The sequence below is a fragment of the Homo sapiens genome, chromosome 15 (assembly GCF_000001405.40).
Source record: "Homo sapiens chromosome 15, GRCh38.p14 Primary Assembly".
NCBI lineage: Eukaryota > Metazoa > Chordata > Mammalia > Primates > Hominidae > Homo > Homo sapiens.
This window is the reverse complement of record NC_000015.10, coordinates 58,052,129-58,079,818: the sequence shown is the minus strand read 5'-3', so window position 1 is coordinate 58,079,818 and position 27,690 is coordinate 58,052,129. Positions and strand designations below refer to the sequence as shown.

General features: G+C 39.5%; 1 protein-coding gene and 1 long non-coding RNA gene across 4 annotated transcripts in view, besides 3 other annotated features; one reads left to right on the top strand and one right to left on the bottom strand.

Annotated features, from left to right (window-relative positions):
* Nucleotides 1–7,113: 7,113 nt before the first annotated feature.
* Nucleotides 7,114–14,594, bottom strand: ALDH1A2-AS1 (ALDH1A2 antisense RNA 1). The gene is made up of 3 exons (NR_147215.1): nt 14,077–14,594; nt 12,885–13,004; nt 7,114–9,011 (listed from the first exon to the last, which is right to left on the bottom strand). It is a non-coding gene; the product is annotated as an ALDH1A2 antisense RNA 1 (long non-coding RNA).
* Nucleotides 13,253–13,442: a silencer, noted in NCBI's record as "silent region_6477". NCBI's record gives its function as "represses an Ori minimal core promoter by ATAC-STARR-seq in GM12878 lymphoblastoid cells {active_cell/tissue: GM12878}" and the evidence as "EXISTENCE:reporter gene assay evidence [ECO:0000049][PMID:35858748]".
* Nucleotides 14,051–14,570: an enhancer, noted in NCBI's record as "H3K27ac-H3K4me1 hESC enhancer chr15:58357447-58357966 (GRCh37/hg19 assembly coordinates)". NCBI's record gives its function as "activates a minimal SCP1, AML or CMV promoter by ChIP-STARR-seq in primed H9 embryonic stem cells {active_cell/tissue: H9 hESC(primed)}" and the evidence as "EXISTENCE:reporter gene assay evidence [ECO:0000049][PMID:30033119]".
* ALDH1A2 (aldehyde dehydrogenase 1 family member A2) overlaps nt 14,108–27,690 on the top strand; it is a 112,283-nt gene continuing 98,700 nt past the window's right edge. For 2 of the 3 annotated variants that reach the window (NM_170696.3, NM_003888.4), the window contains exon 1: nt 14,108–14,285. In NM_170696.3, the coding sequence (NP_733797.1) occupies nt 14,169–14,285 (117 nt within the window). In that variant the 5' untranslated portion in view covers nt 14,108–14,168. Of the gene's footprint in view, nt 14,286–21,710; nt 21,808–27,690 lie in introns of all 3 variants that reach the window. The other variant, NM_001206897.2, reaches the window with a different exon arrangement.
* Nucleotides 14,571–15,090: an enhancer, noted in NCBI's record as "H3K27ac-H3K4me1 hESC enhancer chr15:58356927-58357446 (GRCh37/hg19 assembly coordinates)". NCBI's record gives its function as "activates a minimal SCP1, AML or CMV promoter by ChIP-STARR-seq in primed H9 embryonic stem cells {active_cell/tissue: H9 hESC(primed)}" and the evidence as "EXISTENCE:reporter gene assay evidence [ECO:0000049][PMID:30033119]".

The following is a 27,690-nucleotide window of genomic DNA, read 5'->3' as shown; positions in this document are numbered from 1 at the left end:
GTATCCATGAGGCCATCTTTGGAAAATACAGTCTGTTACATTAATTACTTAGCAGCCTACGTTTTAAGCATCATTTCCATCTATTCTTTACCATTCATTCTACTCTCTTTCCATATGGACCTTCTGGTTGTTGTTGTTTTTTTTTCTTTGAACATGATAAACTTTTCCAAGTTTCTGTTCCCTTGTATATGCGGCTTCCTTCACCCTGTTAACACCCAAGTGAAAAACTTCTTATGCTTCAAGTTCAAATTCAATTGTAGCTTCTCTGTAGAGCCTCGTCCTGGCCCAGAGGTTAACTATGCCCTCCCCTAGGCTCCTATCTATGTTATGGATACCTCCATCATACCGTGTTATCTCTTAGAATTGTTATCCTCACCAGACTGTGGGCAACTTAAAGGGAAGGACCAGGCCTTGTTCATTTTTCTACGAATTCCCGTTATTCTCTCCTGAATGCCAAATATTTAACACAGTGCTTTATACAGGTACTGCTCATTAAATGTGTGTTGAATGGCTGAACAAAATTTTAAGGCAATCTTCGGAAAAATATAATTTCAAGGGCAAGTTGGGATTCTTGGTCTCCTATTACAAATATTATTTCACTGCTACTGTTATCTGAAATACTTTATTCTTTTAGGCCTTATATTAATACTTAAGACAGAGCGGGGGGAAAGGCTGGAGAGAACAAATACTGAGCCCAGCAAAACAGTTTTCAGTCAAAGTATGGATGACAACCGCAGAGACATTTCTATGGCTCTAGGGAAGAAAAGGCTGAGCACAGGAGACTCTGGGGGAAGAAGAGGCGAGGCTACTCATGAGGGGAGATAGAAAGCAAAAAGGGAAGGCTGGAAGCACCAGGGATAAGTACTGCTGGGCTCAAAAATTTGCCCTTAGGCAGATCTTGTTCATCTTCAGCTGTCTCTGGACAAATAGAAGCTGGATGCAAAAGTACCCCAGGCTCTGCTTGATCCTGGTTCCTCAGTGGCCACACAGTCCAGGATTTTCCTCCCCTCTCCTTCCTTTCTTCCTTCCCACTGCTCAAGAGTTGCAGCTGTTGTGGCCCCACAGGGCTGAAGGAGTGGGAGGGAGGCACTCCACTGCCAGGATCCCACACTCCCAGGAGCCCCAGGGTGAATCTCAGATGGGGCTCTGGCACAGACACCAGTGAGATGATGATAAGGTCTGCAGTTTCATCCACAGCTATTCTGCCTTCCAGTCTCTCCATTCTGATTCTGGCCCTTATTTTCTGGACTTCTGTAACTGATGTGTCTCCCAGGATCTGAGTTTCCTCATCTGTCATAAAAGGTGATGGGCTCCATCAGTGCTTCCCCAAATTGCCTGAGCAAAGTGATCCCCTGGGGGATTTCAAGTCGTTAAAGACACGGAATCCTGGGCCCTTCCCTGGAGACTGATCCAGCAGGCCCAGGAGGAACCTGGGGATCTCTTTCATTTGCGAGTGATGACATAAGTTTGGGAAAGCCTGGAAAAGATGACCTCTAAGTCCCTGGTTGGACTTGATCGAATCAGCTGCTTTCAAATTTTCTCTTTTGGCACTATAAAGAGTGGACTGAAGTCAGTCAAGTCCAGAAGCAGTAAGAACAAATTATTCCAATAGTCCAGACATCCTTTTCTCCCATCAGTGGCTCAGAGCATTCTTGTTTCTCATATCCCACAGGAACTGATCTGGTGCCATTTAACTTTAACTGAAATTCATTCTCATCAGTACATAACTTTGCAGAGCTGCATGTGCTACTCAAGAGATGCAGAGGACCACAGCAAAGGCAGTAGCATTACTGCAGAGAAGGGACTCCATAGGGGGAATGATAGTGAAACAGAAGATGCAGGACTTGATGAGGAGAGGGTTAACAGAGACCACTTTTCTTGCAGGGTGTTATAGCCACTGCAGTGTGAGTGAGTACCTTCAGGCATATCACAACCCTTTCTTTTTCATCACCTTCTTCCTCTTCCTATAGTTCTAGGAATTTCTCCCATGCCTAAGGATCCTTTGATTTCATGCACAGACCTTTTGGAACTTTTTCTGCTTTTACCTAGCTGTTTACAATGTTGAATGACAGTGACTTACACAACACACTTCTCTAGGACTTGCTACCGTCTAACACCTGTAATACTACAGTGTAAACAGGAGACAGAGAGAGCATGTGAACTGATTTGCTCTAGCTCCCCCTTCTGCCTAAACAAATTTCTTAGCTTGTTATCTGGGCTGGCTTATGTCCTAGGTTTTCCTCCACAGGTGTGCCACACTGTAGCCAAACTTTTCTTTTCCAAAATTTGCCCCAGTCTTCCAACCAATACACTAGTCTTGCCTATGTCCCTTCCTCTCTATCATGCAGGTCCAGGTAAATGCCTTCTGATCCCCATGGTGACATACCACTTTCTCTTTTGGCTCTCCATAGCACTGCACATCTATTTAGGGAAAAGACCATCATTGTGTTCCCTGCTGGCCTGCACAGAGAGCTCCTTGATGTGAAACAACGGTTTATGCATCTTTATACTTTGCATTCTCTAACAGTGCTGTGGTTGTTTTTGTTGGATGATGAAGATGTAATGTAATAATAATTTCTCACTTATCCTACAACTTCTTTAGCTCAGCTGTGCCCTGATTCTTTATTCCACAGTTTTGTGAATAGCTTTGCAACATAGATATTTTCCTTTCATAGTTAAAAAAAGATCCTCTAATATAAGCTTTCGCATATTCTTATGGAAATATGCTGATATTAACATTGACATTTTCTATTGGGAAATGATAATTTCTCTTGGGAAGTTGGGGACGTTTACAGTGGTTCAACATACTGAGTAAGAGAATAACTAGGAATTGAGTTTTGGTTTCCTGGGTCCTGATCCAGTGTCCTTTCAATTATTTAATAAGGTAAACAAACAAAAAATTATTGAGATACAGAAAAATCAATAACGTTGACACAGCCTGTTAACAATACATGAAAACCACTTAAAAATGAAGATCCAATTAATGTGCTGAGTTCAAATTCAAACATGTTTCTGGAACTACTTTGCATATCTTTTCAGAGAGAACTTAAAAAATATTGTTGGCCCTACTTATCCATGGATTCTGCATCTGTGGATTCAGCCAACCTTGAATGGAAAATATTCTGCAAAACAAAAAGGGATGGTTGTGTCTGTCTTGTCTTGTCTTGTCTTTTCTTTTTTCTTTTCTTGAGACAGGATCTCACTCCGTTGCCCAGGCTGGAGGTGCAGTGGCACACTCACGGCTCATTGCAGCCTCAACCTCCTGGGCCCAAGTGATCCTCCCACCTCAGGCTCCCTGGTAGTTGGGATTGCAGGCATACCCACTATGCTCGGCTAATTTGTGTATTTTTGGTAGAGACAGGGTTTGCCATGTTGCTCAGGCTGGTGTCTATTTTTTCTTGTCATTATTCCCTAAACAATATAGTAAAACAACTCTTTACATAGCACTTACATTGGGTTAGGTATTATAAGGAATCTAAAGATGATTTCAAGTATACAGGAGGATGTGCATAGGTTTTATGCAAATACTATGCTAATTTCTATCAGGGACTTGAGCATCCATGAATTTTGGTATCACTGGTCCTGGAACCAGTCCCCTGTGGATACCTAGGGACAACTGTATGCAGGAAGGTTATTATAGGACAGTCAACAAGGGAAAACAGTGCAAACTGATTATTTCAGAAAAGGTACATGGAATCAGGATACAGAGAAACATCAGTCTCTTGAGCCTACAATGAAAAGCAACTCCTTTTATCTAGGCCTACTCCTAATATTTGTGGGAAAAAAAACAAATGGAGACCCAGAAACCAGACATTTAAATATTTTACCATCTTAAACTAAACTTAAAAACTGTTAAATATAATGTCCTCTTCTGCTTTGACAAATAGAGCTTCATGGTGGCAAAATGTTTAAATATGTAAAGCTATACTTTTTACTTGACTGAAAACAAAATATCAAGACTGCTGAATTTAATTATGACTGTGTATGTCCTATTGTTCTGCTGATGTGCCAGCAATGTTAGGGTAAGTAATAAAATAAACATATACGTAACTCATAAATTACATATTTATTTGATAAAATGCAATTGTTGCATTTATTTAATCAAATCACAATATTGTTATAATCAAGGTTTCCACATAGTTTGGTGATACTGACAGTAATATTTTAAAGGATCTTTAAAAAATGAATTATATTTGAAGTATACAAATATGAATATATTTTCATCAGCAATGTGAATTAATTAAAAATAGAAACATTATATTATTTCTCTTATAGTTTTTAAAGTTATTTTTTCTAAAATATTTAAAATTTTTATTAAAATTAAAAGGCAAAATAGAAACGAAAATTAATAATTATCAAACTTTTAAATACAATTATTAAAATATGTTATTTATTCAGTTTTTTAAAATGTAAGTACTTCTTTTAAACATTTTTATAAGAATAGAACTATTAGCAGTTCTAGAGTTTAATGTGTAACCCAGTTGCCAATGTAAAAGGTCAAATTCACACATGTTATGTCTAGATCTACATATATAAAAATGTAAGAATATTTTATTGTTTAATATTGCAGAATATTCCTCAGTCACCACACAGAGCTATTGAGAAGACCATGTTAATTTGAGACTACCCCAGAAACCAGCAACTAAAACACAAAGAGAAGCAAGAAAATCTAGACACTCAGCATAGCACCTCTGAGAAACAGTTCTCCCACTCTGGAAGAATTGGGTACATTCATGCTATCTGAGAGGAAGGACGTGATAAGGTCATTAATGTGTCTTTCACCTTCGTACTCGCACTGCTCAAATGGTGACACCCCACACTCTAATGATGCCAGCTGCTTGACACACTGATCTTCCCAGTATTCCCTGCAAAGGATGCTGTCTTTCTTTTTCTGAACACAGGACCAGAGATGAGGAAGAGCGCTTCCTTGGGGCCTCAACAGTGTTAGTTGTGACACTGATTGTTTAGGGTTAGAGATGATGCACACATCTGAAACAGCCTGTGTCAGATCGCAAGTGACAGATGGTCCCATGTATTCCTTATTAAATTTGCTTTTTGTGTATTTATAACTGCAGGGCCCTTTATGGCATGAGTACCAGGGCGGATACACTTCCTACTCAGGTGCTACTACTTATACCTTCCCCTGCCAGTCCCCCTGAGCACACCAGGTGCCATGTTTTTTTGTCTTTTGTTTTCATTTCCTGTGCTCCTTACTTCTAGTGAGAGCAGCATGGGGAAGATTTACTAACATGTGTACTTTTTTTTTTATAGATACTGAAAAGGGTAAAACACAGTTAAAACACAGTAAATCTAATCTTGTGGGCATAGGTGTATTTGTAAAGTCAATTATGAAGACTTTTATTATGACAATCAAATTGCAAATTTCTTCAGCCATAAGAAGAATTTATGTTTTCTTTTTCATAACCCCAGGGTATCTAGCCAGTGCTAAGCACATAAGAGGCCCTCAATATCAAACACATGAATATAGCAGTAATTCATATTTTAGAATGTTTGATAAAGTGCACTTGACACAAGGATATTGGCACTTTGCATCTGTATAATTCATGGTAAGAAATGTAGTCTTTTTATAATCCAAGTGTCACCTTGAACGTAAGGAGTGTAAAAATCAACAACAAACTTTTCATGCCTCAGTAGAGTAGCACATACACGACCTCAAATCCTCTTTCTGTCACATTGCAGACATCAAGCCAAAGTGACTTGTTCAACTCCTGTTTTGATGTCGAAGATATCACATACTTTGAAAATGATTTCTGATTATTTTCCCCATAGTCTTGCCATCTTTAAAAATAGTTTTTCAAGTGAATTCTAGCTCTCACCCACCTTTCCTGAAGTGCGTGGCTTTTTGTAATTACTAAAAATGACTATTTCTTTATAACCAGAGAAATAAAATGCCAGAATGTTAATAACTGATTATATTACATAAATTCATTTTAGATCTCTGAATTATCTAGATTCCAAAAATCACTGACCATAGAACATTAAATTATTGAAAGTATGTCTGGACATATCTTTAAATCATGAAATCAAGTGAGTTTTGGAGTGATCCTAAGGTATACTAAACATTTTGTTTAGTTTGTGATATTAATTTTCTCATTTAGTTTTTTTCTCAAGCATTTGTTATGAAAAACACAAGTTAGGAAAAACTCCATAATCTGGAGTGACCATCTAGATTTGTACATTTTTATACTAAAAAATGTCTTCAGATGTGTTTTTTTTTTCTTTGCAATTTTGAATTTCATATTCCTCTACAAGGGCAGGTTTCTCTGGACAGCATATTGACTTTCCTATCTTGGCAGGTCCGTAAAACTCCTTAAGAGCAGTATAGTACTCAGAAATGTTAAAACGGAAAATTCAAGCTATTTAAGTTATAGAACAGACTCTTTCCTTTCTTCAGAGCAGAAAAGTTTCAGTCATTTCAACTGGCAGGCAGATGTTGCCCTAGTGCTGCCTCCATATTCATTAGCCCATAATGAATCTATTAATTGAATATGTAAGTTTGGCTAATTAGATGTAAGACATTACTTCAGATTTAAAGGGTAATAATAAAAAATTTAAACTGCAACACCAGATCAAGCATTTAAGAGTTGATAAATGTGAACTGGAAAGTGCACAATTCCAATATAAATTAGCTAATTGCCTCTGCTAATTTAGGTGAAATACATTAGCAGAAAGGTCAATCCATTTGAGGCTGGATGTGTTTTTCAAATACTAAATTAAAAACAGCAAATCAAAGAGCACTACGAAGTGGAAAGGCACAGAATCCATCTGCCCAATCCAGAGGTTTAGAGTGGATTCAAGTAATCCCACATGGTTAACCTTCTGGGGGTTAAATAGTGGTTCTCAAACCAGGCTGTGCCTTACTAGACATCAGAAAGTTTGTTTAAAATATCAATCCCTTAAGCTCCCTCTTAAACTTATTGAAATCTCTGGAGGCGCGACCAGGCATCCGTATTTTGTAAAGCTCCCTAAATTACAATTGGAACCTGGTTTGAAAACCACCGGTCTATTCCATGACTGTCTGATCCCCTGACTAAACAACAGTAGGTGGCAACACCTCTCTACAGTAGGTGTGTATGCACTAGAAACATGACATAGTGTTATATATAATGCTTTTAATGGAAAAAAAATAAGCTGCCCTTGTTTTCACCTCTATTATCTCTTCTGGCTAGGTCTATACCAAAGGGTATTATACTTGAGATCATATAACTCGAATTTGGGAAGTGGGAGGTAATCTCAGCTCCAAGTATTTGCTTTTAGAAATTCCAGTTTTACAAATTGCTAATTTGGTAGATACCGTCAGTTACCTTTACACTAAAAAATGTCAAAGAAGTTCTTTGTTGGGCTATGTTCTGGAAAATATTCTCTTCATCTTTTGTGACACATGTTCTTCGGAGCACTTAGAAGATTATAAATGCCCATGGGAGGCCCCCCCAAAAATATTTGTGCGTGGGTTGTGTGTGGGTTGTGAATGGGCTGTCCCCTTTTAGACATCCTCTTTCACTCTCATTGTACACTGGATATTCTGACTTCTTTCCTGTCTCATGTGAATATTTTCACAGATTTGGTTACTGTCATTCCACCCTCACTGTGAATTTGAGGGTAGGGATGTGCCACAAACTTCCGTTGGGTTCTTCATAGACTCTTTGTCAATGCTTGGCACATAGTATATGCTCAATGAATATTTGTTCAATTGAACTTAGATGACTGACAGAGAAAAAAAATCCAGGTTTAGGAACTGCAGTCAGGAAAACACAGATGCTCTGAAAGTGGGGTTATACAGCCTGAAGCAAGACCGCTCCTTGCCATTTGGTGGTAGATGTCCAAATTGGGTACCTATTCCAGCCCTAAATGCCTCCCAGTTTTACTCTATGCCTTTCACACAGCAAACCGTTTGGTTGAGACAAAAGAGGCTGCCATGCCTCCTCTGTTGTCAGGACGTCTAAAGTGTTCCTCGTTATCTTTTCAGTGGCCCATTTCAGCATGTAAAAAGAGAGAGACAGTTCACTTAGCCTCATTTTCTAATGAATATAAATACAGATCCCTGCCCCGAATAGTGCCAAAGTTCATGTGAGAATTCCTTATGTCCAAAGATCCTGTGAGTTGAGTGGCTGTATAAGCGCAGATGCACTTGGGGAGGAAGCTTAGGAATCGGAGGGTCCTATGTTAAGTATTAGGCTGATGCCAAAGTAACTGAGGCCTTTGCCACTACTTTTAAATGGCAAAACTCGCAATTACTTTTGCACCAACCTAATAATAACAGGAGTTATTTGTAGAATTGACGGATTTTAGAAGGGTAAAAGGAAAAAGGAAAGCTAAGAAATGTGAAATAAAGAAAAAAGCAGACAACTTAGTTACACGCCAAGTCCTTAACTGAGCGAGAAGAGAAATAAATTCTGGAATCTGTCTATTAATAATTCTTCCTCACCCACAAGATAAAAACAGTAGCTTCCAATCTGAGACACACTCATGCAACTTCCTCTGTGACAGAGTGCTCTGAACACTATGTGAGTGGGACCATAGTGTTCTCAGTATTGCACTTTCTACGGTAAATTTGGCTAAGAAACACTTTTGTTCTTTTCCTGTAAGTCAAAAGAAAGTCCTCCTAAACTAACTAAAATCTAAAATTTGTCTGACTCTAGGAGATTTTTTTTCTCCAGACAAATTCAAATTAAATGATAACATCTCTTAAGGATTTCTCACCAGTATCAGATAAAAATACATTGAATCCAAGCTATTTGAATGGACAATACTCAGTTGCACATACACACCATCAACTGCAGGGGGCGCCAATGCCTTTTCCCTCAGGCCCTTCAGAAAAGGCGGTGCAGCTGGAATTTTAATTTCTTCCTGTCTGTTAAGTGTGATTATTGATGAAGTACTGCGCTCATCCCAGTACCCAAATTGAAGCTTCTCGAACATATACGAAATGGAACTGGGCCTTACAACAAAGGCAAATCTAGTTCCCATGTTTAAAATAGTCTCCGGGGTCCCTGAAAAGTAGAGGGTATATTTTAAAAGAAAAGAACTGTGTTTTGTATCAAAACATAGTTTTTTGAGTCATAACCAATTAGGACTCTACTCCCTGCAACTCCAAATACCTCTTCTCATAGAATATAGTGACCAGAGGCCATATCAAGAAATGAGGAACTTAATATCTAGAGAATTTTTATGGTTAATAAATACCACAGTCTCAGCCTCTTTTCTTCTGGATGTTAGAAGGAAAAGGATAATTAAATGAGAGTTTAGATCTCACATAAAAAGTTAATATACAGGTTAAATAAAAATATAAGTGGATTTATTTTATAGAAGTTTTCATAATGGGTCCCAAATACTTCATTAAGCATTTCTGGATAAAAATATGTAAAGCTCTTTATAAGCTTTTGTTAATAAATTAAATACCATTTCTCTATAAATATATTTTGCATTAAGCTTTCCTGTTAGAGTTTTCAGGAAACATTTCAAATAAAGTGGCCAGGCATATCCCATTTGAGATGAATGAGATCATTAGGAAACACTTATATCTGAAATAAGCACTGAGATCATTCTGCATACAACCTGAGGGCCCTAATTTTTTAAATATTTCAAACAATGTGCCTCTTTCAAATCATTAGATGTAGAGACATTTAAGGAACTGATTCAATTAGCCCAGAAGAGGGGAATGCTATAATGTGTGATTTATTTTTGAAGATAAATTAAAATGCAAGTGTATCTGTTAGGAAAGGTAGGCTGTCATCATGGTTAGTAATGGGAACAGGAAAGCAATTAAGCAGGGCCACCTGAGGCTGAAACAGCCCCTAAACATAGAAACTTGACATTCAAGCTGGACATTCGGTTACTGTCAAAATCAAGTGCATCTTCTTTGAGAGGGATCTTTGAGCTGCATTTAGTTCCCTTCATTGATTTCTAAAGACTAGTTCTCAACTTAACAAATACTTTCCTCCCCTTAACTGCAGCTAACAAGAAACCTAAACTGTTATGGTTTCATAACTTAAAGTCAAACTTCACATAAAGCTGATGCCTTAAAATTACAGCTTTGCATTCTATTATTTAGGTGAGGAAATATGAGGCAAGAATTTATTTTTCTCCTCTGCAACTCCAGGATATTGGCTCCACCAGGCCTAATAAATTGTTTTCATAAGGAAATAAATACAGCATGCTGCAGCTTAGGTTCCCTTATGCAAGGGGTTTCAAACAAGATGTATCCTAAGCAATAAATAATTACAGAATGGGGGGGGTGGGAGGAGAAACACTGTAAAGGTGGGAAAAAAACAGTTTCTTAGCCAAATTGGGGGGAAAAGGCTGAAATTCAAATTGTTAGAAATCTGAAGGTAGTTGACTGTCTTTTTATTTTTAGAGACAGGGTCTCACTCCATCACCCAGGCTGGAGTGCAGTAGCGTGATCATAGCTCACCATAACCTTGAACTCCTGCTTCAAGCGATTCTCCTCTTTCAGCCTCCTGAGTAGCTAGGGCTATAGGAATGCACCACCACGCCTGGATACTTTTTTTTTTTTTTTGGTAGAGGCAGGGTCTTGCTATGTTGTCCAGACTGGTCTTGAACTCCTAGCCTCAAGCAATCCTCCCACCTTGGCCTAATTACGGGTGTAAACCACCGCATCTGGCCAAAGACTGTCTTCTTAACTATTGTGAAATCTGTAGAGGATATGAGAAAACACTAAAACTAGATGATAAAAGAAAGAGAAGAGGAAATAAGAATGTGAGAAGAGGTGTTAAGGCAGCCTTGGAAGTAATAGCCTTGTAAATCTTACAAACTGAAACCAAGAAGATGAACACCAAAGAAGCATTTATAATTCACTGTTCTTTTCCGCTACATCTTGTCCCTACCTTGATTTAAAAAGCTTGAACAACAGCCGGGCATGGTGGCTCATGCCTGTAATCCCAGCACTTTGGGAGTCCGAGGAGGGTGGATCAGTTAAGGTCAAGAGTTCGAGACCAGTCTGGCCAACATGGTGAAACTCCATCTCCACTAAAAATACAAAAATTAGCTAGGCATGGTGGTGAGTGCCTGTAATCCTAGCCATTCAGGAGGCAGAAGCAGGAGAATCGCTTGAACCCAGGAGGCAGAGGTTGCAGTGAGCCGTGATCATGCCATTGCACTCCAGCCTTGGTGACAGTCTCAAAAAAACAAAAAAGGGGGCTTGAACAAAAAGTGGCTGCTGTCACGAGCTGAATATAGACAAAATATATATCTTTTTTGGCCAGATACAGTGGCTGACACCTGTAATCCCAGCACTTTGGGAGGCCGAGGTGGGTGAATCATGAGGTCAGGCATTCGAGATCAGCCTGGCTGACATAGGGAAATCCTGTCTCTATCCAAAACACAAAAAATTAGCTGGGTGTGGTGGCAGATGCCTGTAATCCCAGCTACTCGGGAGGCTGAGGCAGGAGAATCGCTGGAACCTGGGAGGCGGAGGTTGCAGTGAGCCGAGATCACACCATTGCACTCCAGCCTGGATGACAGTGCGAGACTCTGTCTCAAAAAAAAAACACAAAAAAACAAAAAAACACCGATGGGGAAAAGCAAAACGAAGTTTAAGATCAAGAGGAGAAAATGTTCTTTAATCAGGCAGTGAAGGAAGTTACTTTCACTTACGGTGGAAGTTGTCAAAAGTGCTCTGTCTTTTGCTCAAATCAACCAACAAAAATTCTTATTAAATAGTTATTATGTGTTCTACGCTGTTTTAGGAACTGAGGAAGGCACAAGGGAGACAGGCTGGAGTGCAAGATCTCCTCTCACTACAACCTCCACCTCCTGGGTTCAAGCGATTCTCCTGCCTTAGCCTCCCGAGTAGTTAGAATTACACGCACCTGCCACCAGGCCCAGCTAATTTTTGTATTTTTAGTAGAGATGGGGTTTCACCATGTTGGTTAGGCTGGTCTTGAACTCCTGACCTCAAGTGATCCACCCGCCTCGGCCTCCCAAACTGCTGGGATTACAGGCATGAGCCACCGTGCCCAGCCTCTATACCTTTTCTATAGTGTTCTTTTTGCTCTTGTTGAAGCCTCCCTTCTCCCTTAAGACCCAGCCAAAGGTCAGCTTTCCCAGGGAGTAGGCGTCCTCCTTGGAGCACTCAGCTCATGTTGTTATGGCTCTTTTTCATGTTTTCCCCACAGCCTCTCATAACTAGTGATAAGTTTTTCCACAGGTATCACTGTTCCCCCTTGCTGGAACCCTCTCTTTCTCCCCAATGAACTCTAAGATTTTACTTTTTTATTTCTCAATTGTATCTCTAACCTTCTAAGGCTTTGATAAAAGTATATCTTATGAGCATACACTGTTATTAAGTCATAATTTTTGGCCATAGAAATTCCCTGAGTACAGATCCCTCGACTGCCCAAGCTAAGGTCTGTAGTTTCTCCATGAAAACGATTCACCCAGGTCACTTTGGGTTCTGAGAGGCTGGAACTTATTTCTATAAACCTAATACTAAAATGAAATATTTTTGTCTGTTTTCACTATTGCTTAGCATCTGAGCGCTGAGCATTAGGCAGTTTTAGTTACTCAAAGTATCTAAGGAAAGATGTTTTCTGGCTGATGCTTAATGTTTTCTTAACGCCCAAGAAATGGGACTCCAGCGGCTCTAAAAATGGCATTTAAGATGAGAATCAGGCCGGGTGCAGTGGCTCATGCCTATAATCCTAGCACTTTGGGAGGCTGAGGTGGTAGGGTCACTTGAGCCCAGTTCAAGATCACAGTGAGCTGTCACGGTGCCACTGCATTCCAGCCTGAGTGAAGGAGTGAGACCCTGTCTCTTCAAACAAAACAAAAAGACGAGAATCACAGTGTTGCTTGGTAGTGTAGAAAAAGCGTTTATCAACACTGTAGGCCCCTGTCAAGCTTACATTTGGAGTGAGGAGTAAGGAAGGGAAGGGACTTATGCAGGTCTTTCCATGCGGCCTTGATTTAGTCCACGGAGTCCAAAGCCCATTCTGAGGCAGGGTCTCTAGGTTCTTGGTTTACACCTGCAGGCCGATCCACAGACTAGAGGGCAGCTTGTTAGACTTTGGAAACACTTAGATTAGGGGGGAGATGGAAACTCAATCCCAAAGGGACAGTAAAATGAGCCTAAGGTCTGGCGGGACGATAGCTCTTAGCGTGTAAGGAACAACAGAAAAACAAAATAGTGTTTCTGTGGGTGTGCTGGGTGAGGAGGGGAAACAGCCGGAAGAGGGGATCCGAGAAGAACTAAAGGAGCCCACGAAGCATGCAGCTCCTCGGAGGAGCCGGGGATGATCACTGCCCATATCCTCCCGCCACAGCGCAAGCCGCCCGGGCGGTCCCGGCCGGCAGAGGGCAGCAACTGGGCGGGCGACGCCTGGCAAGGGCCGCCCCGCGCTGACCCGCTCGCAGGGATCCTCATTCTGAGCCCGAGGCGAGGGGGACTCGCACCCACTGCCACCTCTCCCTGACCCTCTGGCCACCATGCACCTCGGCCCGGCTGAGGGGAGTCGGGGGGTCGGGGGAGAGGGCGTAGCTGCCGAGAGCCTGGCGCCCCTGCCCGGAGGAGGAGAACGGAGGACGCCCTCCCGGGTCTCCGGAAAGGAAGGGGGACGGGGTTCGGTGGGTCCTGGGACGGGGATGGGAGGGAACGTGGGCGAGCTGGGAGCCGCCCTCCGCAGCCTGGACTTTCCTGGCCTTTCTCTACTCCGAAGCAGCACCGGGCCGCTCCGGTCCCCGCCAGCCCCTGCCAGCTCCGCTTCCGGGGGCCACGACCCTCGCTCGACTTCGGCCGCTGTGCGCCTCCCGCCGACTCTGACCCAGGGACCCGGAGACCAAGTCCGGCTGGCCGAGGCCCGCGGGCCGCGGCGCAAGTTCCGCTCCCACCGTCGAGGACTGTGGAGGCGGCGTGGGCTGGTCTCCGCGGCCGGGGGGCGGGAGCGCCGGGCGGACTTGACCGTGGGCGCCAAGCGTCCCGGCCGCGCGGCGCGGGCTTTATGTAAATGGAGGCTGCGCCGGGCGTCCTAGGTAGGATGGACCAGCCCCCCGCGCCTCGGCCCTCACGTCCAATAAGAAGAGCCCCAGCTTGACACCTGCCTATATACAGGCGAGCGCGCCCCCGGGCCGCGGACCGCGCGCACAGCCCGCACTGCCCCACGCCGCGGGCTAGGGACACCCGGCCCGCCACCATGACTTCCAGCAAGATAGAGATGCCCGGCGAGGTGAAGGCCGACCCCGCCGCCCTCATGGCGTCGCTGCACCTCCTGCCGTCGCCCACGCCCAATCTCGAAATTAAGTACACCAAGGTAAGCGGCCGCCCAGCGCCCGTCGTCCACGGAGACTTTCTAGAACCTTCTTCGGTTTCCCCGATCTCTTCAGCGGGTGAGGGCTGCGGGACGGGGCCGGGGTCGTCGGGGCCAGCCTGTCATCCCGGCGCAGCAGAGGGACCCCCTGCCTGTCTTCGGGACTGGGGCGTTTGAAGCCCCGCCGTGGTCTGAGGACGCCTTGGGGACTTAACCCAACCCGAAGCGCAGCGTTGAGGGGCAGCCGTCAACGGCTCCTGCCCCGGACTCTGAGGCTGGTTTCTGTCCGATTCTCCCGGTCCCGACTGCCGCGGGGGAAGGCGTCGGAACCGCTTAGTATCCTCAGATGGAGGCCGGGGTTCCCCGTCAGCTTGGCCACGCAGCCTGGCCGTCGCCTCTCGGTCCTCCGCCTTCCGGGCCCCTCGGCTGTTGGTCCCAATCAGGTCCTCCACAGCCCGGAGGGTGCTGAGGGGCTTTCCCGTAAGGAATTGTCAAGACACCAGCGCTCTGGCCGGTTTGACAAATTTCACGGAAACCTGACTGATAAGTACAGTAACTCCAACGTCAGCGTTTCATGTGAATTTTGTAGGCAGCGGCAGTTTCCCTGGGAAACTTAAAAAGTTTTAATATTTGTTAGCATGTTCGGTTTTGAACTGAAGAACTTACTTTTTTTTTTTTATAACGAACGTTGACATCTTGGGTTTGCTAAGCAGGATTTTTGTTGTTGCATCGCCTAAAAAAGAATATGCGTCTGCTACCTAATATAAAATGAATTTACTTTCCACAAATTCGACATAGAAAAAAAATGATCGATTACAAACGTAGGGGTATTGTAATGTTACAACATTTTGAGGGAGGTGGTGAGAGAGAGATGGGATTGAAAACCACGTTTCTTGGAGTTCATTTTGTAGTTCTCTGGTTTGATTTTCTAGTCCTTTCGGTACATTTCTACACTCAACTTCTCCCAATTAACGCAAACGCATAGACGCACATGCATATGGTTAAAGGTTGATTAAAGATGTATTCCATCGTGCTTTTTTACAAGATAAATTTTGTAGAGAAGTAAATTGTTTGCATCTGGCTTAGTGGTTGAATGAGATATACAAGAAACAACATCAGAATATTGAGATTTTACTTGCATTGAGTTTTAGGTTACAAATCAGGGCGATTTGTGTTTTGAATGTCGATTTAGATGGATTTAATGTACCTGCTAGCTTTTTTAGATGGTGTGACAAATTTTTCAAAGCCGTTTTAATGAGAGGTCGTTAATGGTTATAACCTTTTAGGCATTGTTTGCATAACAATAGTGCCAATGTGTGGCACTTGTCTGGGTTTAGGAACGAGCAGGGAAAGCATGCAGCTTAGAAGTTTTATTTTATGAGGGTCTCTAACCTCTTCAGGCTCTTTTTAAAGGTCTTAAAATGGAAGATCTACACAGGAGAAAAGACCTAACCCTCAGATTTGGGAAGGTTTGATTTTAGTCTTATTTTTGATGGGATTTTTCTAACAGCCTCTGAAAGAAATTTTAGGTATGCAATAGGTACGTTTTTCAGAATTTAATTTGGAAGCTCTTCCAGTTCTCTTACTCCCTAACTACCCCCTCTCTCTTTTCTCTCTTGTTCTCCCCCAGTAGGAAAGACAACTGATTTATAGCTAATTGGAGCCTTTAATGTGGAGTCTTTTAGCTCGGGGAACTTTTATCCAGTATCCACTTTCCCACTTAATACAAAGAAAAACAATCAGAAATGAAATAATGGATTGTAACTTGATTCTTTAATTTGTGGGGAGGAGGTACCTTATTTTTGCCTTGACAAACAACCCTCATAAACACTGAGTAACACTAATCTAAAGGCGAGCTCTTTCCACAAAAACTTGTAAAATCAGGTATCTGTGAGCATTCCCAGCAGTTTTCCTCCTCAGCTCTTTAGTGAGACTTCTAAATTTTCTAAGACAAGCATAGTGGACAAGCAGTATTTTTTTTTTAAACGTGAAGAGCAGAAGCTGCTCTTTTGGTATCCCAGGGTAATGATTTTTTTACTTAAAGGAAAAATAAGATTAATAGTGAGTTTTTTAAAAACAAACATGACCAGAAGTGAGGGAAATTATATTAGCAATTTCAAACAGAAGAGTGAACAAGATAGAATGGACAGTCCTTTAGCATAGTGATACCATATTCGATAGGGGATTTTAAAAGGGTAATGGCTACAAAAGTATTACGCGTTAGGGCGTGTTAAATATCACATTTGAAAGAAACACAATATTTGCATCAGAAAATGATACTGTAAGACAATATGTTATTGTTTTTTGTCTTGCTAAACATACATCTTTAGTGAAGGATATGACTTTCTGTATGATTTTTCAGTGTGATATTGGGACCCACATAGAGTCACTACTTAAAATAAATGACCAGACTATGAGAATTTCAAGTAATGTGCACTTAGAAAACTTTGTACTTGTGATCTTGTATTTTTCTGTATTTTTGCTCCAACTTCCTCCTCCTCCTAGAAGTATTTCACATTTTTAATAAAGGGAATGGGGGAGATGACCAGAATTAAAAGTTACTGCCTTTGCCTGCTAGAGGTCCAGTGGAAATGCTCCAGAATTAAAGTTCATTCCCTAAGGATGTTGAAAGGGCTAAACTCATGGTTGTGTATGGACTTTTAGGCAGTTACATTCCATTTTTTAAAATACGCTTACCACTCTGAAATTCTAGTATCCATATTATACCAATGATCAATGGCAATACCATTTTTGGAACATGTCTATTTGTATTTCCCTAATACAGCAAGCTGGATCCCAAGTTTTAAAAGTGATCCCTTATGAAGGAATGTGCTTTTTAAAACTAGATGGTGTTAGTCAAGGAGGAGTGAAAACTAACATGAAGTATTGAGGGGACCAATTTGGTACCAAGAGAATGCGCTCTCCTTTGCTTGTATCCTAAGAAGACTGCATTCTGATTGCCTTGAGCGATGTGTTTATGAATTTAAAATTTTCTGAGTTGTCTATTTTATTAGTCTGACTTTTATAATTTTGTATAACTGATATTATAGGAATACACACATTACAAAGTCAAGGCTCAGCACTTTACTGACCGCCCCTGACTGCAGGGGATATCTCTTAACAGATTCCCAGGTCTTTGGAAACTTGTCCTCTGTATTCCACTTCGACCTTCTTTCTTGGCTCTATCTTCTCTTCTGGCTGTACCGGTCTCTCCTTTCCTTCCTCCCTCCCCCAGATCGTTGTGCTGTCTTTCTCTTGGTCACTTTTTCAGTGAGAGTTTATGCCCATAACTAACAGTAACAAAGAGTTATGTTTTTTTTTTCTGCATCTGATATTATATGGGGCTGAAACACAGGGAGGAAGAGGGTATTTATAACATAATGACCTGCTAAAATAGAAGAGGCAAAAAGGCAATCAACTTAAAACTCAGAGCTAATGTGCATCGTGAGTCTAGATTTGTCTTTTTATTTATTCATTTAAACTTCTGTTTTCTGGGGTCTATTTCAATTAAATTCAAAAGGCATTTGAGTGGCCATGTTCCTAACAGGGGTGCTTTTCACTGTGTTAGACTGGAAACATCTGCCTTCTGGGAGATTAGGGTCTTATTAAAAAGTTTGTGTGCCAAAAATTGGTTGTTAGTACAGCAGTAGTTCAGTTGATCAATGTAATAATAATGATGATGATAATTATAATGCCACTTACATTTTTATAGGGCCTAATGGTCTGCCTAGCACTTTCATATATATCTTGTTTGATCCTTGCAAAACCTTTTGAAGGAGAGAGAGTAGAAATAAATAGAATAATTCATAAGAAAGACATTGGCCTTGACTTTAAAGAAATTGATAGTTTTCATCACCATACACTTTTTCTAACGGTCTGTGGCACGTTGTTTTTTCATCGTTTTGTTCCGTTTTTTTTTTTTTTTTGTTTTTTTTTTTTTTGAGGGAAGGAGTTTAAATCTTTATATTTTGTGTTGCTTCTCTCGCAACCATGGAGAAAATATGAACTAGTCTACCCCTCTTAAGAAGGAGCTATCTTTTGTGACTTTTGATTCTAATACTTTAAATGGCTATTTTTGATTTTTCTATGAGATTTTTTTTTTTAATCTGGGGCAAGATTCTTGCCTGTGCCAGGAATAATTTCTTAAAAGATAGGTGTGGATCTAGATCCTTCCAAACCTTTACTTAAGATTGTCTGTTTTGGTCATAAATTGTCAGTCAAACTACATGTTAATAGAGGACTTCAGGTTTTTTTTTTAAATACTTTTTCATAACTATGCAGCTTTTTGGTGTTTGTATCATCTCCATTTAACACAGGGAAGCTGGACAATTTCATCACAGGACTTGAATTAGATAATTCTCCTGGGGTCCTGCCCTGATCCCTTCCACTACATGGGCCTATGTTACCATGTGGAATTATCATTTGCTGAGGGACTCCTCGTTCTTTATTTCTATAAAATGATGAATGATAGTTTTTGTATTTCAGAGTAGAGGATTCTCTGAGGAGACTGTTTTGTGAGGTCTGACTTCCTCATAGCCAGGCTTAAGAAAGGCAAATCATGCATAGTTAGTTCTCTGTTGCATCAATGAAGCACAATGATTTAACCATGACAAAATCAGTAAATATCCCAAGTCCCATCACCCAGAGTTATCAGTTCTGAGTCTTTCTTAGTTGGACAATAAAATACAAATACTGATAGGAGTTTTTGTCTCTTGAGTTATCTTAGTGACAGTATCAGGGGTCAGCAAACTGTGGACTGTCTGCCTGGTTTTATAAATAAAGTTTTATTGTAACACAACTGCACTCATTCAATTATATACTGTCTGCGGCAGCTTTCTGACTATAATGGCAGAGCCACAGAAACCATATAGCCCACATTTTAGAAAAAACTTGCATGCCCTTCCTTCATTTGGAAAAAGAGAGACTCTGAGTTAAAATAAGCCTTTGATCAAATCCTGGTCAGAAAGGTACTTATCAGCTACATGGACAGTTACATTTATTTGACACATAGTGCCTGATATGATGCCAGGTCCTAGGGATGCAACAGCACAAAAAAAAAAAAAAAAAAAAAAAGATATGTGTGGCATCTTAAAGAGTTTCTTCACTGACTTTCAATTTCTACATTTGTCATCATTGAGATAATAGTATCTACTTTATGGGGTTAAAAGGACTAAATGAAAAGTGTGTTAAAGTAAGTGGCATATAATGATAGCCAAAATTCTATTGCATTTTTGCAAAGTGATGACTATATATATATTTAGAGATCTAAATTAATGGAAACCAATTTTAAGGAAGATCAGAATTATGTGATCAACTGGCCAGGCGCAGTGGCTCACACCTGTAATCCCAGCACTTTGGGAGGCTGAGGCGGGTGGATCACCTGAAGCCAGGAGTTTGACACCAACCTGGCCAATCATGGTGAAACCCCATCTCTACTAAAAATATGAAATTAGCTGTGTGGTGGTACACGCCTGTAATCCCAGCTTCTTGGAAGGCTGAGGCAGGAGAATCACTTGAACCCAGGAGGCAGAGGTTGCAATAAGCTCAGATCATACCATTGCACTCCAGCCTGGGCGACAAGAGTGAAACTTCATCTCAAAAAAATTATATGATCAACAAAGTTTTATAAAACCGGTCTGTTTTATGTATTCTTTTAATTATTTTTATTACATTTATTATGTGCATTACTCATAAGAGTTCAATATTCTGGGTAGCTATGGAATCCTCCTTATATATTTACACTGCGTTTTTACCAAATGGGATTCCTGGGAGGGTTTTCCACCAAGGTCTTGTCTTTACTAAAAAAGTTACTAAAGCATTTTCTCTGACAGTATTTTAATAATAAAATTAGATATCTTGACATTTGTGCCAAAATATAGCATGAATATGCTTCAATATGCCCGATTAGCTGAGCCTAAACTCCAGGTTGCAAATAGACGTTTCTGGTATTTTAAGTAGTTAGGATAAAAATACAAGATATTGATACATAAATGTGGGAAGTATGCAGCATACAAGGACATTCTCAGAAGGTAGATACCTTTTGACAGTGGGAAGGTATCTTACTTTATATAATTTAAAAACGAAGAAACTTTTACTAGTCCTGACTGTCCAAGATAACATATGGAATTTTGAGAGCATTTTCCAGGAGCAGTCACCTTCCAGAAAGTAAAAGCACCAGGCCGTGGCTATTTTGAAAGCCCTCCTAGCATTTCTTTAATTTCTTTATTGACTGTGACAGGTAATTTCAAAGCCATTCATTTCCCCCCAAACAGCAAATCTAATTCACGTAGAGGTGATTGCTGTAATGTCACCTGGGTTAATTTTTAATTGCCTTTAATTGTATCTTTGAGATCTATTTCATTTAACCTTTTAAATATATGAGATTATGCACATTGGGAATTACTTATCACTGGTATTTCTCTACTGTCTGCCTTTAAGATTGAGTTATGTTTAAATTGTTTTCCTTCAAAATCTTAGAGCTTATTTACAGCAGGTTTATTTACAACAAGTCTCTGTTGGATCACATGATGAAAACACTTCCAGGCTTTGAAAATTCCAGTTGGAATAATAATTGGGTGATTTCACCACCTAGACTTCTGCTGGGCTCTAAACAACACTTCCCTGGGGCTAAACGTGGGGATTAATTGACCTCTGTAGAATGTGGTTAAAAATTAGTATGTCTGCGTGTGAACTTTCTAATTTTTATTATAGAAGGAAGCCTTTCTTTTACTCCAGTTCAGCTCTGTTACCTCCAGAAGTAGTTACCTGCTCTGTTTCCCTTCCTCATCACTGTCTGACCTTTGGAGAGCCAAAGTAGTATTTCTTTATCACTACAACTGTGGAAAGAGAAAAGCTTTTGTTTAGGTCAAACTGGAAACACCTGTTTCTTATCTAGAAGAATTTAGCATATCATGAATCTGAAAACTCTTTCCAATCTTGATTATACATTTTTCAAAATATTAAAAAGTTATATTTTAATATATTTTATTTTACATTATTTTCATCCATCTATTCATTGGACTTTGAATTTCAAGTCCAGTGACTCTTAGGTTTTTTTTTTTTTTTTTTGAATATCATTTCTAGTGATTCCTTAAAGATTAAACAGTCAGAAAGTGGTATAGGTTGTGTGACTCTTTCCCACAAGAAGAATGGAATTACCTCCCAGTAAATGAATCTGGCGAAATATTGTGAGTTTAGGAAACCCACTAATTATTTAGCAAGCCCACGAGATATGCAAAAATAACCTACTTCCCCTTTTCCCCACCTGTCACTCCTAACACTCATATACCAGATTTCCAGACTGAGATGTGTGTGATAGTGGCACGATTTCAGGTGGGAAGGAGGAGGGGAAGGCTTTGCCTGGGAAGGTGAAATTATGAAATGCCTGTATGAATTTATGGAGAACAACTGAAAGTCTTATTTCTCTAGGTGTGAAAATTGGACTTGCTGGCAGAATCCTTTTTGGGAGAAGATGAAGAATCAGTGTGAGACTGTTTGGTTAAAATCCCCAATAAAACTGAAACTGGTGAATTCTGCCTCATCTATGTTTTACAGTTTGATAATATAATTGTATTATTTAATTTTATTATAAAATTTAATTTTAATTTTTATTATCTCAGGGTCATTTTTATTTTTGGCTGTAGCCAGAGCTACTCTTGTGCCTCCCTGAATTTATGTATTCATTTGTGTATTTAACATTTATTAAGGCCTTTTGTGTATAAAGCATTGTGAGTCACTCTGGCAGAGAAAGATATATAGGTGTGGCCCCTGCTCTGAAGAGGCGGTAGAGGATTCCCATTTGGGTGTGGAGTGGGGTCATGCACACAGTAGCTATTGTTCATGATAGAAGATGCTAAATGTTTGAGATGAATGAGGATTCAGAAGATAGAGATGTTTCCAGCTCAGCAGAAGAACAGCACACTATTGCCAGACATATTTGACAGAAAATGAATTGCTTTAATCATACAGAAAAGTAAAGCAGTAATATAACAAATGTGTGTACCTGTACCTAGATTTGTTAGTTCTTAATGTTTTGCAGTATTTGCTTCTAATTTTTTAAAAGGAATAAATTGAAGCCCCCATTTCTTTCTTTCTCTTCCTTTGCCAGAGGCATTTATCTTCACTATAGGTATATGTATCCATAAATAATACATGCTATTGTTTTGCGTGGTAACATCTTTTATATAAATGTTTTATATATATGTACCATATATATATATATATCCTTCTGTAATTTGATTAGCTTGTTAAACATATGTTCAGTATTCATCCATGTTGTTGGATGTACTTATAATTAGTTCATTGTAATTGTTGCAGAGTATTCCATTCTTTGAATATATCCTAATTTTTAGTTTCTGCTCTTGACATTTATGATGCATCCAGCATTTTGTTATTGCAGTAATGCTGCATTGGACATTCCTGATCATGTCTCCTCATATACCTGGTGAGAGAGCATCTAGGATGTATACCTAAAAGTGATATTGCTGGCTCATGGAGTATATGTATCTACAACTTAATTAGGGATTGCCAAATTTCTGTCCAACATAGTTATACTAGTTTCCACCACCAGTATATTCCCAGTATGTACACCTCCAGTATATCCCACCAGCAGTGTGTCAGAGTTCCCATTAGTCTACATTTTCACCTATACTTCAGATTCTCATACTTATTAAATTTTGCTAACCTGGTAAGTGTGAAATGGCATCTCATTGCTACTTTGATTTGTGTTTCCTTGATTTCTTGTGAGATTGAGCATCGTTTCATGTTGGCCGTTTGGTTTTCCTCCTTTGGCTAATTTATCATTTGCTCATTTTTCTATGTTGTGTATTTACTGATTTGTTATCAGTTTTTATAAATGTATTCAGGATTATAATTTTTATCAGTTATTTACTATGCAAACATTTTCTTTCCTCTTGTAACTTTCCCTCTTCTTTTTCTTGTGTAACTGTCATACAGTTTTAAATGCAAAGGAAGAAGGATTTTTCCTTTAGAGTCCTGTTTCAGAAATGCATTCCTATTGCAGATTTTTCAAGGCATTCTTTTTGTAGTCTTCAGAAAGTTTATTTTTGCTTTTTGCATTTCTGTCTTTACCTCCTAGAATTGGTCATTGCTTATGCATGGGGACAATAATAAAGACAAATGATGTAGCATTGGAAAGTCAAACAATATTGATGTTTAAATAATTTTTAAAAATTGTATTCCTTGAAGTCTTGGAATCAGATTAGGAAGTCTAGAATGTGTGGTCTTCTCTATAATGGGAAAATAGGAGAAACTACTTTGATTGATGGTTTTAATACACACTAGTTTCCCTAAACTAAGAACAGTGCTGTGTTCCACAAACTTACCTCTAGGCGGCCACTGTATAAAACTCTAGGGTAACATGATTATTATAACTTATTCATGTCAAGACTTAATTTCCCTACCTTTCTTACATTATCTGGAACAGAATAAGTACTTAAATATTAGCTGTGGTTGTACTCTTGCTCATGTGCGCTCGCGCTGTGTCTCTCACACACATACAACACTCATTTTTGAAGGGTCAAGATAAATTGATGAATTATTCACTCTGTGCTGCTGATAGATTTGGAGAAAACATGGATAGGTAGCAAATAATTTAAAAAGAATTTCTAAAAGACCTTTTTTTTGAATAACTCTACATTATTCAAGAATAATATACTTCATCCTGTTAGTGAAGAGAATTTAAATTATTCCTAAGCACCAGGTCTGAAAATAACATTACTTCTTATTTTGTTAACATTTTAACTTAAGTTCTAAACCCAAAGCTGGTGTATATATTTACCTTTGTGTTTGAATTTCATCAGTGATTTGGTTCATACATGTGTATCTCTAATTTTAAAGAAAATATTGTGGAAGTGTGAAATTCTCCAACCTTAAAACTAAAACTACCCCTTCTGTGTATATACTTACATATAACACCTGACAATTTTGGCTACACACTTATTTTTTGATAATGAATGTATATTCTCTGAGCATTCATATTACTTATTTGCACTTCTCAGTGGTACAATTTTTGCATGGTATTATATTTTTCTGTGTAACTCCCTACTTCTAAACTGTACTAGATTATAAACTCTTATTTATCATGGTGTTTCTGAAGTACCTAGCTCAATGTCTAACAATGTAGAAACTTCAAGAATGTTTTCTTAATGAATACTTGTTATATTTTAATAGCTACGGCTTTTATTATTAATACTACAATATTCAGAGTACTTTTCACATATGATTACATTAAATTCTTGGGGCAACACTACGATGTGGATATTGTATTAATATCTTCATTTTATAAGTGAGAAAATCAAGCATATTAAAGTTAGTTTTTTCAGGCTCAACAGCAATAGTGGGTGGCAATTCCAGGACTCAATACTCCTCCTTCCCTACTCGTAACAATAAGGACAAACATAATAACCACTACAAAGACAATACAATTTGGACTATTAACCTAAAGCCTTGCTGAATGTTTCATAGGAAACCCCAAGCCCAGTTCCTCAACTACAAATCCCATATTTCATTCAGATCCTAAGTCTAATTCCACTCAGTATTGTCCGCAGCTATCATAAGCAACAATTCCAACCAGACAAAAATGGGAGTATGAATTTAAAAAAAGGAGAGAATTGATACAATTTGACACTTTAGGTATACATCACCTGGGAATATGTGATTTTTTAGGTTATGATAAAGAACGATGTTTTTCAATCCTCATTGGTTGTGTAGTCACACACTGCCCTTAATAACACCTGTTTATTTGATCTGTTTTGTTTGCATTCAAAAAGTGTTTTCTTTTTTTATGGCTGTTAAGATTGACTTGGGAGGGAGGATGTGTGAGGCTATTGAGGATAATATATTTTACATTCTTTCTAATGCTTTCTGTGCCCCAGTGGGCCATCATTTTGTGTAACTGGGCTATAATTTCTGTGAGAGAGATGCTTGCCAGAAAGAGTTGGGTGGGTATGTTCCATCTTGTCTCTTATGAGCAATCATCTTACTAAGGCTTAATTACTATCAGATCCCTCTGTTACCTGTAATCTCAGTGGGGAGGCAGAATAGAGGAATTCATGCAGTACTCAAACTTTGAGTTTCAGCAACACAAAGGGGTGGCATTTGGGGTGCACAATTAATGTTTCATTATAAATGATTGAAAAATCCTCTCTAAAGAAACTGCTGAAAGGTTGTGTCCTTTAAGCCAGATCTTGCAATCTCCAGATTTCTCTGACTTCACTTTTAGAGAGAACAGATCTTTTTTACTTACCAAACTTATGCCTTTTCTTTCCTTTTTTATTCCTCCCCTTTTGTGCTTCTCTTCTGCTTCCCTTGGTGTTTCTCTTAGGACAGGCACTTGATAACTCTTATTTCTCGTTTAGACTCATTTACCTGTTTGCATGAAATGGTTAGTTATGCCTGGGAACCTTTGTAGTTGGCTCTCCCAGCTGTTGGCCTAAATGGTCCTTTGGGAGACCAGAAGCAATGAACCTGGAATAACCACATTTGACTTCTGGGAGCCCTCCTGAGAATTTAGTAATTACTTAATGGATTGAATTGGCGACATATACTATTCCAGATAACAGCCTGGGTTGCATTAAATTAACCTTCACAAATGGGTATTTATTGGTGTACTCTTAAAAGACTACACGTGTTGGCTGTAATTGCTCTTCCATGTTTCTCCATGCTGATAGGTATTTGTACTGAGTGAAAAATTTCTGAGATTAAAGCCTGGGTGGTAGTTGTAGCTATTTAGTGATGTGTGTCATTGTGTTCAGCACATTGAGCATAAATCCTGTCTTGTAAACAGCAGGGAGACTAATGAGGTTTGCCCACATTCTGGTATCATTACCAGGAATTCCAACAGAGAAAAAGAGAGGGCGTAGAAAAGAAGTACACAAAACAGTGATTTTTGGAACTCCTGATGATCTGATTTAAGGAGAAAGATGATTGCTCAGCATTTAGTATAGGCATGTATGCATAAATAGGGGTACATAAAGTACACTTAGCCAAAAAACAAACCAAACATTTTGCTTTCACTGAATGCTTGCAAAGTCACTAACTTATTGCTACGGAGATGAGGGCCTTATTTGTGAGTGTCTGTAATTGTGAGTGGTGTAAAGGGGACAACTGTTGAAATAATGCAGCTGTTAAAATGATAGCATGCTTTTTGCTTTTTTGGAACACTTTATAATTTCAGTGAACTAAAATTCCACACCAATTTTAGTTTTACAATTTTTGGAGTATTTCTGCTGTCATTTTCAGTGATAGGCACACATGACTTCAGAACACAAAAATCTCTTAGAAGAAGCATTTTAAATGTGGCATTTTAGGTTTATTTCGAACTTTATTATTACTGTTAAGTACTGTGTGTTTTATAATGTCACTCCAAGGGATCCAATTACTGTTTAATTTGTAGACTCATTTTTTTCTTGGACTTAAATTTTTATGAGAGCCGGTATCATGGCTGCCTTGACACAGAGTGTGGTCCATACATCTTCGTGTTTGATGAATGAATAAATGAATACATCCTAGACAATAAATTGTCTGATTTCATTTGCAGAGTCATTAATAGTTAAAATGCCAGGACTAGAAAGTGAATTCCAAGGTAAAGTGTTTTGAAACAAATTTCTTTCATGTGCTTCCTTTAAAGAAGGTATACACACATCCACTTTGGAAAACTCTTCTGCTTCATTGCCACGCATTTACCCCTTCCTCTGAAATAGAAACCTTTCAGTGTACCTTGCAGAGCAGTGAACAAGGCACTGGACAGGGCATTAGAAGACCCGTGTTCTGACCCCAGCTCTGTCACTTATGTATGTTCATTTAACAGTTTCTTGGATATGCAGGCATTGAATAAATACTTATTGAATTAGCGAATGAACAAAATAACTTGATCATTTATTATCTATTCTATAATGGGACCTGGAAATATGAAAATGCTTTGTGATACTGGGTACGCCACTTAAATTTCCTGGTAACAGGAAGCAGAGGTTGCACTGAGCCGAGATTGCGCCACTGCACTGCAGCCTGGGCGACAGAGCAAGACTCCCTCTCAAAAAATAAAAAAAATAAAAAATAAATCCTGGTAACAGCTTTGTTACTTACAAAATGAGAGACCAGAATGAGATGCTTATTAATTAATCCACCTACTTTTTAAAAGTGTTGGATTAGAAAAGCTATAAGATTTCTTTACCCCACCCTGACTAATTAGAACTCTACTTTCCTGGGCCCAGAACTTGGGATTATGGGCATCTGAAAGACAATACTGAACTGCTTGCATATTTAGTTGTGGTCTTTTTAGGGCCGAAAATTTGCACTCAAACAGTTTTGTTGAAAATACTGTCTCAACAATGTACTCATGGTTACCAAAGAGTAGTCCACAGAAATCCCTGTTAATGATTCTCGTTAT